This window comes from Homo sapiens, chromosome 13 (genome assembly GCF_000001405.40).
Source record: "Homo sapiens chromosome 13, GRCh38.p14 Primary Assembly".
Lineage (NCBI taxonomy): Eukaryota > Metazoa > Chordata > Mammalia > Primates > Hominidae > Homo > Homo sapiens.
Window position 1 is genome coordinate 22,380,982 of NC_000013.11, and position 14,497 is coordinate 22,395,478.

The window sequence follows — 14,497 nt, forward strand, 5'->3', positions numbered from 1 at the left end:
GGCTAGCCAGTTTTCCCAGCACCATTTATTAAATAGGGAATCCTTTCCCCATTGCTTGTTTTCCTCAGGTTTGTCAAAGATCAGATAGTTGTAGATATGTGGCATTATTTCTGAGGGCTCTGTTCTGTTCCATTGGTCTATATCTCTGTTTTGGTACCAGTACCTTGCTGTTTTGGTTACTGTAGCCTTGAAGTATAGTTTGAAGTCAGGTACCGTGATGTCTCCAGCTTTGTTCTTTTGGCTTAGGATTGACTTGGCAATGCAGGCTCTTTTTTGGTTCCATATGAAGTTTAAAGTAGTTTTTTCCAATTCTATGAAGAAAGTCATTGGTAGCTTGATGGGGATGGCATTGAATCTATAAATTAACTTGGGTAGTGTGGCCATTTTCACGATATTGATTCTTCCTACCCATGAGCATGGAATATTCTTCCATTTGTTTGTATCGTCTTTTATTTCATTGAGCAATAGTTTGTAGTTCTCCTTGAAGAGGTCCTTCACATCCCTTGTAAGTTGGATTCCTAGGTATTTTATTCTCTTTGAAGCAATTGTGAATGGGAGTTCACTCATGATTTGGCTCTCTGTTTGTCTGTTATTGGTGTATAAGAATGCTTGTGATTTTTGCACGTTGATTTTGTATCCTGAGACTTTGCTGAAGTTGCCTATCAGCTTAAGGAGATTTTGGGCTGAGATGATGGGGTTTTCTAGATATACAATCATGTCATCTGCAAACAGGGACAATTTGACTTCTTCTTTTCCTAATTGAATGCCCTTTATTTCCTTCTCCTGCCTGATTGCCCTGGCCAGAACTTCCAACACTATGTTGAATAGGAGTGGTGAGAGAGGGCATCCCTGTCTTGTGCCAGTTTTCAAAGGGAATGCTTCCAGTTTTTGTCCATTCAGTATGATATTGGCTGTGGGTTTGTCACAGATAGCTCTTATTATTTTGAGATATGTCCCATCAATACCTAATCTATTGAAAGTTTTTAGCATGAAGGGTTGTTGAATTTTGTCAAATGCCTTTTCTGCATCTATTGAGATAAACATGTGGTTTTTTGTCTTTGGTTCTCTTTATATGCTGGATTACGTTTATTGATTTGCATATGTTGAACCAGCCTTGCATCCCAGGGATGAAGCCCACTTGATCATGGTAGATAAGCTTTTCGATGTGTTGCTGGATTCGGTTTGCCAGTATTTTATTGAGGATTTTTGCATCAATGTTCATCAAGGATATTGGTCTAAAATTCTCTTTTTTTGTTGTGTCTCTGCCAGGCTTTGGTATCAGGATGATGCTGGCCTCCTAAGAGAATTTTTCAATTTTTATGCACATCTTAGCAACCACTATTTATTATAATTTTGGCTTCTTTTCTTTAGATACACAACTGTATGAAGTCTGGCAGAGTTATTCCTGCTGTTGGGTAAGGGTGGTGAAATATTGACTTCACCCTGGAAACGTACCTCATCTTTACATTATTCAACATCTTGATAATGCCATTTGCATAGATAGGTGATACCTATGTCCTGACATAATTAAGCAGAGCAGAGTTTTTTCTCTGGTACAGGTGATAAGTTTGTATTGATCTGACTCATTTTCTCCGTTCCTGATGACCATGTACATCAGCATGAGATTGCTGGCTGCAGCCAGTGCCATCTGTGGCCATGTAGCAGCAAGGATCTTGCATATTCAGATATGGTTTGTGTAAAAGGCTCTGGTCTCATTAATTCCATCCTCCCATCAACTGAGCCAGCCAACAAGAAATAAGCAGTTGGACCCAAACATCTAGAAACTGTCCATTGTGATAATACACTTTCCTCAAGAGGGAACAATGGCTACTCTTTGATACAAACAAAAATAAAATAAAGTTCGAGCTGTCAAATTTTATGTAGGCTTTCACAGAAAGAAAATGTACTCTTCGTCTTAAAATAATTCTATACTAAGAGATGTATTATGGGCCCACAATATAGATGAAATAGGATTACAGTAGTCATTGCTGACTTCAGTAATTTGAGTAGAACCTCTAAATCCTTTATGCTAAATTCTGCTTTGTAATCACATGTAGAAAAACAAGATGATTTTGACAAACCAGTTCTCCATTTGGGAGTCTTATTCATCATATAATATTCTTGTGAGGCTCTTTTTGAACGTGAGAGAGTTTTAACAGACAAGTGACAGACACAACAGCATATGGAGGAGTGGTATTTTCTAGGTGAAACCCTACCCTGCAGGGGTAAAGTCTAATACTGTGAAGGTTTCATGGGATTGTGTCATGATGAACATGTTTTTCATTCTCAAAAATTTAGTTACCACACAGGAATTTACCCATTAATTATAGTGTAAACGCATGCTATTTCCTGATAGTTTTGTAGATAACACAGTTGGCATACTAATACACTCGAGCTCTCTGCCAGATACCTACACAATAACAAATGAATTGTAATGACGAAAAGATTGTATCATTTTGTTTTCTGGAGAGCTGTAAGGAGATCTGAGAATGTCAGGTAATGTGGTAATTATGTTTCAAGTAACTTGATAATTTAAAAAATATTATGAGGTAATCTGCTGAAACTTGCAGTTATTCTGTGGCTACATGTTCCATTCCCATTATGTTACACAAAATTATGGGTTAGAATTCCTATAGCTACCTTTTCTACTCTCTCAACAAAAGATGCCAGCCTTAAAACATTGAAGAGGAGGTTGAGAAGTTCTTCTTTCCATGCTACAGTTGACAAAAGAGGAAACTTTCTAGCACAATGAAACATGTAATTTCTCTCAAACTTCTTCTTAAGCCAACATCTAAGCAGGGCAGGAGACTCTCTGGGAGACTATTTTTCCCATTTTGTAGCTGGCATCATGTTCTGCTGATGGGAGAAGAAAGCAAGAGAAAATGTCATTCAAAGCACTCTTTGTAATGGCCATCTGGGACTTCATCTGAATGTTTGCAGGAAAAAAAATCCTATGGCCATCCAGTTAAATCGGGCCTTCTAGCCACCATGGACACTTGCAGAAATACTAGGTCACGAAGAAATGCAAATTGAGTTTATTGTAAACTGTGATAACACGTGTTAAGGGGATGAATTAGAATTGCATTTGGGAAAGCAAAGTCAAAGGTATAACAATATATACTCAAGAATACTAAGGTGGGTTTCTGGGAAATAATGTGGAAGGAGAGACAGGTAAAGGCACTTGTAAGAATTTGTGTTCTATTTTGATGTGGCAGGTCAGACATGTAGCCCTAAGCACCGTATGTGTGCTTGGTATTATTGTTGGTCTCGTTTCTAAGGAACAGAAGTATTGGGTGTTTGGGGTTATCTGTTCAGATTAGAATTTCAATTAGAATAGAAGGCTCACGCCTGTAATTCCAGCACTTTGGGAGGCCCAGGCAGGCGATCACCTGAGGTCAGGAGTTCGAGACCAGCCTGACCAACATGGAGAAACCCCGTCTCTACTAAAAATACAAAATTAGCGAGGCGTGGTGGTGCATGCCTGTAATCCCAGCTACTCTGGAGGCTGAGGCAGGAGAATTGTTTGAACCCGGGAGGCAGAGGTTGCGATGAGCTGTGATCACGCCATTGCACCCCAGCCTGGGCAACAAGAGTGAAACTCCATGTCAAAAAAAAAAAAAAAAGAATAGTTGTGACATTAAACATAGGAGAGAGAAGGGTAAATTGGCATGGAGGAGCAAAGTGAAGTCACGCATTGAACAGGGACGACAGAGAAAAACATGCACGAAGCAAAAATTTTCTTATAAACAAAAAAGGAATAAATACATCTTTATATCAGACCCTCTAGATTCATGTTTCTGTAGCTCACTGGTGGTGCTTGATTTTCTGTAAAGTAGTCCTTAGACAGTTTGCTCATGGAAGCAAGTAAATGAGTTTTAATTTTTGCTTTATACATTTTACAAATTTAAAAGGTCAGATCAATTATGATTTTCACATAAATCTCATTTCTTTCTTTTTTTTTTTTTTTTTGAGACAGAGTCTTGCTCTGTCGCCCAAGTTGGAGTGCAGTGGAGCGATCTCGGCTCACTGCAAGCTCCGCCTCCCAGGTTCACGCCATTCTCCTGCCTCAGCCTCCCGAGTAGCTGGGACTACAGGCGCCCGCCACCACGCCCTGCTAATTTTTTGTATTTTCAGTAGAGACGGGGTTTCACCGTGTTAGCCAGGATGGTCTCGATTTCCTGACCTCGTGATCCGCCCGCCTCGGCCTCCCAAAGTGCTGGGATTATAGGCGTGAGCCACTGCGCCCGGCCTAAATCTCATTTATTTCTAAAAACATTATGCCACTAAAAGTTTTACATATGCATATACATATACATATGTATGTGTATAAATATATATATTATGTAATTGTATATATTATTTAAAGACACACACATACACACACATATATACACACACATACCCAGCATGTTATTCAGCTAACAGGGAATTAGGTTGATTCCTTGGTTAGGTTGATATCTTGGTGACCCAAGATATAGGTGGTCACCAATATCTTGATGGTGTTTCCTGCTATTTATATGTTATTACATCTGCTGTTTTCCATTGTTGTGGTTATGATATATTTTTGCCCCAACTTTAATAATATGAATTAATGGCTTAAGATTGTTCATTGCAGCATACAGCTTATTTTTAAAACTAATACTTTTTGAATATCTGTTTTGTGCCAACCATATTTTTATGCCCTGGAGATAGGTGATGAAGAGGTGAAAGAAGGTGTCCACACTAGTACATTCTAGTTTTATGGTGGTTGGAGACAGACAATAAGTTATAAAGAAAGGAAAAATATTAGCTGGCAGTATGAGTCAAGAAGAAATAAGAAATGATTATAGGTTTAAGTTCTTAGGATGGTGGATAGCCTTAGAGTGGTGAGCGAAGGCTGCTCTTAGAAGGAGAACTGCGGTCTGGATATGAGGAAGGAGCCTGCAATGGCAATAGCCAGGAAGGCACACTTGGCAGAGGGAATGACTAGAGGAAGAGTTTGGAGGCTGGACCAAAAAAATACACAACCCGGAATTTGGCCGCAAATATCGACACAGCAGAGCGCTTCGGTAGAAATACAGAATGGAAATCTTTATCTAAATCTAGTGAGATGTTTTGCAGTAGTGAAAAAAATGAAAAGTACAAATGCCAGGACAACAAAATTGGAGAAAAATTAGTGTTGAAATATAGTTGATATTCTATTTGAATATTCTATTTGATATTCTGTTTGAATCACTAGATGACATTAATAGAATCCTTGCATTATCGAACTATTTATAAGATTCTTCTGCTGATAGAGTCAACACCTGAATAACTATCAGCTCACTTTCTTCACATTCACAAAAAATTACATTCAAAAGCTATTAAGGAGAGCAACTATTTGGTCTAAATGGCAAGATTTGTTTTATAAAATCATATGCGAACACAGTTGCATGTGGAAAATGGTCATTTGTGACAAAGTGTTTCTAAAAATGACTACGAATTTTGAAGCAGAAGCTGATGTTTTGTGTCTTCTGCTATTTGTGTGGTCATTGAAACTGTACTGCTCCCAGAGTAAACGATAAATGCCAGTGAATATTTTGTGCAAGTTAAACAATGATCACCCTCTTTCTGAGAAATAAAAATGCAGTACCTTGAAAACAATTATTAGGTATTTATTATTCTCTTGCTCTCTCTCTCTCTCTCATTGCTGCTAAATGAGCTTACTGCAAACTATAAAGGCGTTTCTGCATAATACAATAAATAAATGTATGTCTACTGGTTCCCATGCCCTTGCACAATTCCCTCCACTTTGACCCCGGACTTGCCCTGTGACTTGATTTCGCCAACAGAATGTGGTGGATGTGATGCTATGCTGTGTCAATTTCAGGCCTAATTCTTAAACAGGTTTGAAGGCATCCTCTGTGACCTTCTTGGAGTTCTGGACTAGCACATAAATAGTTCAGATGAGCCTGCTAGAGAAAGAAGCCATGTGGAGAGGCCTTGGGGAATGAGACACCACATGAAGAGACAGGCTGCTTGGGGGAATACTGAGGGCCCATGCATGTAGGTGAGAGCTCCATCTTGAATATTACAGTGTCCATTCACTTAAATGTAATCATGTAACAGATGCCAAGGAGACTGGCAGAAGAACCCATCAGCTAGTCCCCAGCCAACACATATAATCATGAGACAGAGTAAAATGATTGTTGTTTTAACCATTAGGTTTTGGGTAGTTTGATCTACAGCATTAGATATTAGAAACAGAAATTGGTACCCCAAAGTGGAGTGCTGCCATACCAGAAATCTAAAGCGTGTGGTGTTGTTTTAGAAACCACGGGGCCAGTGGAAGCTAGAAGTCTCTCAAGGAAACTGTCTCTCAAGGAAACTGTGAACAAAGGCTGAAAGGACAGAGGAGAAATATCGGTGAAAAAAGGCAACCCATTTTTTGCAACAGTGGAAAGTATGAAATAGTGTCATCTGTGCTGATATGATAGGAACCTAATAAAACTGTGGATCTCACTTAAAAACGTCTTACTGGTCTAAAGTTTTAGAGACGTTGCTATAGTTTCTATGTTTTTGAAATCTTAGGAACAGGTATTTGACAGAGCCTCCTTACAGAGCTGCATCTGTTGAAACCGTATCCCCAGAACATGTTAATTGGAGTGTCCTTTATGGTGGCTCCATTTCTAGTCATATCCATGTTCATCTGTGATCCCTGTGAATATATATAAGGAATATCTTTACTTATGTAGTTTATATAAGCTGAGGGGAAGCAGCTATTACCATAGTAGCTATTCCATAGGGATAGAATCAAGTATATACCAAAGAGTAGAATGCTGGAATGAGATAATAAGCAGGATTAAAGTCTTGAATTGAGCTTTCAAATCTCATTTATTCATGGAATGTGAGGGTCATGTTGCCCAGCAGTTCTCTCTCTCTGTCTCTCTCTTTCTCTTTCTCTGCCAGCCTCTCTCTCTCTTCTCTCTTTCTCTGCCTCTCTCTCTCTCTCTCTGTGTGTTGAACGAGGAGGATAGCAAATCATTGGCTTCTATTTTTAGTTACCCATGAACTTAAAAACAATGAAAACAGTGACATTTCTTTCAACTGTAGTAACAGTCTCTAACTGTGCTAATAGGCTGTGAATGCTGCATCAAGGAAGATGTCACGGCACTGTTTTCAGCCCTGGTCAGATCTGGGACACAGTGTTCAATCTGGCCAGCACCATTTCAAAGAGCTGTTTACAAAATGAGTGTGAGGGATCTGAAAATTACAAACACCACATAGGGGAAACATCATAGAGCTGGGGATATTTAGACAGGATAGGAGAAGGCCCTTGGGGAACAAGCTCACTGCCTTTTACGTAGCTGAAGTCCCGTCATGCTGAAGATGTCATAGACTTGTTTTGCACTCCTCTTGGAAGGTAGAACTATGAACAATTGTCAAAAGGCACAAAAGAGCAAACTGGCTTAACACAAAATGGACATTTCCAAGTTTTAGTGCTTCTCCATCAAATAGACCTGAGTGGCTATTTCTCTAGAATAAAATAGAATGTTTTCCTGTCCAGGTAGGAGGTTGGAGCTATGGAGTTTTCTTCTTACCCAGAGTCAGTGGTTTGAAGGCATCTCTTCTTACTAGTGCAATAAGTCATATTTTGTAGTGCATTTGTTGGTAAATAATTAATGATTATAGCTGCAAATTAAAACTAATTACTGCTTGCTTCTTCAAATGGGTTCAACTCAGCTTGGTTGCTGATAATAAAATCTGCTTCCATATGTGATGGGATGGGCATATGAACCTTTGCTGGAGTTTCCTAATACTTTCTTTTAAAAGCGACTACCTGAAAACTTAACAAAATAAACTTGTATGAGGCATTTTATTAAACTTCACCATTCTCAATAAGCATGTTGGCATTTCTTTGAAGTGTTTTTTAAAATATAAAAAGTTGATCCATGAGTTTATGAAAAGTGTCACCACAACTTTATTTGCCCAAGTAAGTAGGAGTCAAGCCAATTGCCAATGGGAGTATTCACACTTTTTGCCATGCAGTTGGGTATCTGAAGAAATGTTTGAATGAAATGATTAAAGAAATGCAATGAATTTGAAAGAATGGAAAGTTTTTTAAAGGAAGTATATAAAAATATTTTAATATGGTGGTGAGGCACTAGGCATCATGTGGTTTCTGTGTCCAGTTCACCTTGTCTGAGTATTCATCAGAAAGAGGGCTCCCTGTGGAGTTATTGGAAGAAACATCCCTGGTGTCACAGAGAGAGCTGGCTTGAACCTGGAGGATATAACAAATGGCTGTTCCTGAAAATACACTCAGCTAAACATGTAGAAATAAAGGCATGCTTAAGATAGTAGAGCTGATACCACTTGATGAAAAGAGTCAATAAAGTATGTGAAGATGATGGTACAGCATAAGGAAAAAACAATATATTGGGCAGTGTGAGTTTTGACCTGGGAATTCACTAAAATGACTGTGGAGGTTGGGGGAAGAGATGGTGAAGGGCTCATAGAGCAGTGACCCATGCAAGCCAGTCCTGGAGCAGTGTTATAGTTAAGGAAACTCACCCCAAGCTCAAATTTTTTCTCGTGTTGTCTTCAAGTCTTTTGTGGGGTCAAATTAAGCAGTCCTTGAAAGCTCAAAACTCATTATTAACTTTTCCTTGATCTTATTATTATTTAGCACCCAACATCATTCTCCTAAGGCAGGGAAGAAAAAAATAAAATTCTCATTGATGCACTCGCTTTCCTTTCATCCCACCCTATTCCTCATCTCACCTCTCCTTCCAAACTCAGCTTCTTCTATGTGCTACTTCACACTCTGCTACAGCACCCACAGCACTTCTACACTGTCTCCTTCCCATACTAGACTTGGGGTTACCCACTTCTTCTGCCTTTTGCTTTGATCTGTTTCTCATAAGATTTGGTTTATGCAAAATCCTGCCATTTTCTTCTGCTAGTCGGGAAGGACAGGTAGAGCCCATCCAGGCAGCTCCACTGATGGTGGTGGTGGGGAATCCATAGATGCTCATGCTGAATAATTCTCGTTTTGCCAGAGAAGAAATGGAACAGCTGAGGTTGGTGCATTTACAGATTGTTTTATGGAAACCTTTGTATATGCTACCTGGTGTGATTGCACACCAGGTTACAGGCCACAGGACATAAGTTTAATGTCTCAGATTTTCCGTTAACTAGTGGTTGTCCAGGTCTCCTAATCACTCAGGTGCAAGTTCTCTCTCTATCTGCAAAGAAAAACAAATTCCTAAAATGATTGTGCAAGTTGAATTAGGTTATCAAAGGTTGAATATTCCTTGTAAACAGTAAAACACAAATGGTGGTTGTCTTCTTAATTGTCTCAAGTCATTGACCATTCCACATTTCCCTTCTAATACCCAATGGCACCTGTTATCTATGACCTCCCACTTGTTTTCTTATTCCTAATTATGAGAACAGAGCTTCAAAGTAATAAAATTTCAAAGCAAAGGGGTATGCAATAAAGAGGATTTGGGATGAAAGCATCAAAAATAGGATAAAATCAAGAAATTTGAGGCTGATATACTGTAATGTAAACTGATCATAAATAGTAGGTGAGCAACATTCATCTATTCATCATTCATGATGTGGTCAAGAAACTAAGTGCTGATTAAACACCAGGTGCTTTTCTGGAGAGAGAATTCCCTTTTCATTCTCTTTATGCTGTCATGAAGATCCCATTTGAGTAATGTATGACCTCTCCTCTTTCTCCTAGTTTCAATAAGTGACTTACCAGATTGCCTGACTCAATTTTGTTCTCTTCTTCTCTGCACCCTGTTTATCCTATGGAGAAAGACTGTGATTATTCAGGGTTGTAACTAGGTGGGCAAATTCAGTTCAGAGGAACAATATGGCCTGCTCACTCAGTTAACAGCTCCAAAGACACACTCTTTAACTTAGACTGTGTCAGCAGTGAAAATGATATTTTTAGTCTCCATTTGACTGACTCAGTTGGTTCCCTACAACATAGGCAGGGAAGCAGTGGTTTTTTTAATTGGATACTCCTTGCCTTACATCAGGTACTATTCAGAATAAACATAACAAAATTCGACCTTAAAATATTTTTAATAGGTAAGATGAAAGAATTAACACAAAAATAATTTAGGATAGATGATTCAGACACCTTGGTTTTGAGTCTCAACCTTACCATTTACTAGCTGTGTGCTTTGGGGAAAGTTGGCTTAATCTCTCTGAGATTTAATTTCCTCATTTGTAGAAAGCAAGTCATAACCCCTGCCTCACAGAGATAATACGAGGATCAACTGTAATACTGATGCAAAAAGTTTTATAAACTCTAGAGCTAAATAAACTCTTGTGTTTTTATTATTACTCTGGGAACTAGGTTCCCAGCTTGTCTTCCTCCTACGCCCACCTGCTCCCCCAGCTCAGCCCCTGTTCTGATTATTTACCTGGCATACCACAACGTTTTTCTTGTCTCCAAACATGGATTGGGCCCATGGCCATGACTTCCAACACCACAAACTAATGTCAGTGCTAGATTTCATCTAGCATAAATTATCTGTTGCTGTCCACAGACCAACTGTTGGGCTCTTCCCAGAGAGTTTCCGTGATTAACCGTCTTTCCTTTAGCTTTTTGCCTGTAGCTAATTGCCCCGTATTTCCTAGCTTTGTGCTTTCTATATCGTCCTAAACATACCCCTGTTTTCTCTTATTGAGAACCTCCTTAGTTACTTGCCGTGCATTGGTAGCTGTGTCTAGGATCTCTGTGTCATAGGACTCTTGCTTGTCTTGTTCTTCCTTGAACTCTTAGATTTCCTGCTGGTCACAAAGCCCAGTGGTGGACACTGGCCATCCACATTATTGAGACCTCTAGTGTCTCTACCATGAAGGATGGCTTTCACAGAGGTTATAGACCTGGGCTCTGGAGTCAGACAGCTCCTCCACTTAGAGCTGTGCACTCTTGGTTATGTAACTAGCTTTCTATACCTTACTTTCCTCATTGGAAAATAGGGTAATGGTAGCTAGAAAATATTAGAGTTATCATTAAATGAAAATAAATGGGCTAATAATTCGTACAACACCTGGCATATATTAAGCACTCAGTGACGTTATTTGTTGTTGTTGTTGTTATCATCAACTAAAATAAAACTTCTCTAACGACTCTGTGTTTCTTCCAAATTAATAGATTAAAAACAATAATGTTCTAAGGGGAACAAAAAATAAGAGGAGCGAGGAGGTTATTAGTCTTTTTTTTAGTCTGCTCTAAATACCTACTCAACAGAAATGAATATGAATATATAAGACTGGGAGAGATAAATGCACAAAAAGAATATATGTACACACACATATATACATATATACATAGCTATATATACCTGCATATAAACCCACACATTTGTGTATGTGTGTATATATTCATCTATAAATTTATATATATATATGGAAGAAAGGAAGAAATAGGAAGAAACCTCAACATTCTACCTTCTGCACATTATGATACATTGTAATATTCAGAAGATAGACCGTTGAGCTCTCTCCTTTGCTTTTTAAATAGGTGATATATGATGCTTAAGTCATATGAGTTGTAGCGTGAGTTAGCTCCAAATAAAAATTTGTGACCTTTAGACCTTATAATCCAAGTCACTTTTGGTAAAAGCAGCTGAAAGTTACATTTATAGAACTTATTTAGAGATTTTCCAGATAATAAGGATTGAAGAGAAACACCAAAGACGGCCCCAGAATAGCAACTAGGGCATTTCCTTTGACAGCTGCAGCAGATCTAGTGGAACTTTAAATTAGTCTCAAAACTGATTTGAGACTCTGAAACTTGACTAGCTTACTAACAATAGTGTATGTGCTGAGCAACTACCAAGGGGAGAAAATACATAATAGATGAAAAAAATCATAAAGCACATTATTCACATAATTTAATGGCACTTATGAACTATTAGGGAGAAAATCCACCAGAAAACAATGTTGTACATGTCAACTCCTTTCTAGTTACAATCACAATTGTGCTTCTATTATTACTGAAAGTAGGTGCAACTGCAGATAAATTTTGAGAATGGAACTACTATTTCTCTTTGTAAACTCATTTGGATAAAGATACTCATGCCCCATCTACATGAGCTCAGTTATTCCATCTTTACTGTATAATTTGGCTCTGACATCTTGTCTCTTATGTGTTGTTAGGCAGGGTGAGGGAGATGGTTATTGATGACAGAGTGATAACAATCTCTGCATCTAATATGGAAAGAGATTCCATCCTTGACCTTGGTAATGTATGCCAGCATTTATCAATCCTCACTGCCAGGTTTCCCAGCCAATTCCTTTGCTCTGCACCCAGGCCAAATGGGGGTTGGTTAGATGCCACCCTGGGAGTGGGGCCTACAATCCTGGAGCAGATCCCCACTGGAAAGCATCTCCACCTTCCCTTATTTTGGCAGTTTCAGTTTGGGGACATTGAGGTTATGTGCAGAGGCATTGTTGTTCAAACAGAATCCAGAAATGAGGCTTCCAGGTTTTAGGAGTACTACAGAGGGAACTGGATTCATTTGATTTTCAAAATATGACAGAAGAAAATATAGGAGAATGTGTTTATGGTTCTGGGGTATGGAAAGCCTTGTGAAGAAAGGCTTCAAATTCAGAAGACTTCGAGAAAAAGAGTTAACTACATCAAATGCAAAAACCTGTGGTTGAGAGGAAATACCATTAATAGCATTAAAACTTAAGAGGCACTGGCCAGGCGCAGTGGCTCACGCCTATAATCCTAGCACTTTGGGAGGCTGAGGCAGGTGGATCACCTAAGGTTGGGAGTTTGAGACCAGCCTGACCAACATGGAGAAACCCCGTCTCTACTAAAAATACAAAATTAGCCAGGCATGGTGGTGCATGCCTGTAATCCCAGCTAGCTACTCAAGAGGCTGAGGCAGGAGAATGGTTTGAACCAGGAGGTGGAGGTTGTGGTGAGCCGAGATCATGCCATTTCACCCCAGCCTGGGCAACAAGAGCGAAACTCCATCTCAAAAAAAAAAAAAAAAAAAAAGAAAAGAAAAAAGAAAAAGAAAAAAAAAAAACTTAAGAGGCACTGTGGAAAAAGTATTTGCAACACAGGATATAAGTATGATTAATATTCCTAATACTCAGATGGCGACCACAAATCAATGAGAAGGATGAATTGCTCAATAGAAAAAAGGGACAAGATAAGAACATGAAACTAATTCATAAAAGAAAAAAATACAAAATGTAATAAGCTATAAAATGCCAATTGCGGACAAAGGCAAATTAAAATAACGGGATACCATTTTTATTCACTACATTTCCAAAACTAACAAACAAATAAACAGAGTGACTGTAACATGCCAGTTTGTCAAGGGTATGGAGAAACAGAGTATAAGATAGTGTTGGTGGCACTATATTTTGGCATGACTTCTTTGAAGGATCATTTGGAGGTTTTTCACAAAATAAAAAATGAACAATCCTATTATTCAGCACTTTTAGTTCTTGACAATTATCATGCAGAAATATCTACTCATGTGTATAATGATACGTACACAAGGGTGTCCAATCAATACTATTCATGAGGTCAAATGGAGACAATCTAAAAATACTTAATAGAGGAAGTTACAAATTAATGTGGTAAATCTATACAGTGTAGTTCTATGCAGCATTAAAAAGAACCATGGATCAAGGCAAAATTTTCAAGACATATTTTTAAGTTCAAAAAGCAAGTTACATGGCAATATGATAACATGTTTATAAAATAAATTGTGAGTGCATGCAAATGTGCATACAAAATAGACAAAGTCAGAAATGATATCTGCCAAACTTCCAATTCTGCTAACTTCAATTGGATGAATTGGATATAAAATACTTATCTTTCTCTCCCTAACTGTGTGTAAAATAAGAAATATTTTGATGTTTTTCCTATATTTCTCATATATATATAATATATTCACTTCAAATGTGTAAAATATGAATATTTATAAACTGTGAAACTATGAGGTTTTAAAAATTGCTTTTTATAATTATAATAGATAAAGAATCTCACTGATATTTCTAATATCAGGGTAGCTTAAAAAGGTCTTTGGCATGATACATAGTGCATTATACATATATTAAACATTAAGTCAACAACCATCAAAATAAATAAGAGTTTCCTATTGCCATAATATTACACATCATTTATATAGGACCTATTCATTATAAAATGACTAAAATGGTGTAGTATGAGACATTTTGAAAAATATCTTCTGAAATCAGAAGAAACACATTGAATTTTTTTAGAAATTACTTAGCGAGTACTTTTCATTTTGATGTTAACAACAGTAGTTATATTTGTAGCACAACCTTCTTAAAAGCTTATATACATGTTGTGGATGCTCTTTTGTTCCCCTTAAGTTCTAAACAAGCATAGAAATGAACTTCACAGGCTACACATGGCAGAACCTGTCCATGTGTCTCTGCCTCATTCCATATCAGTGAAGGATACAGAGGTGGAAGGATTTTCAGTGAAGGCATAACCTAACTCTTCATTTTG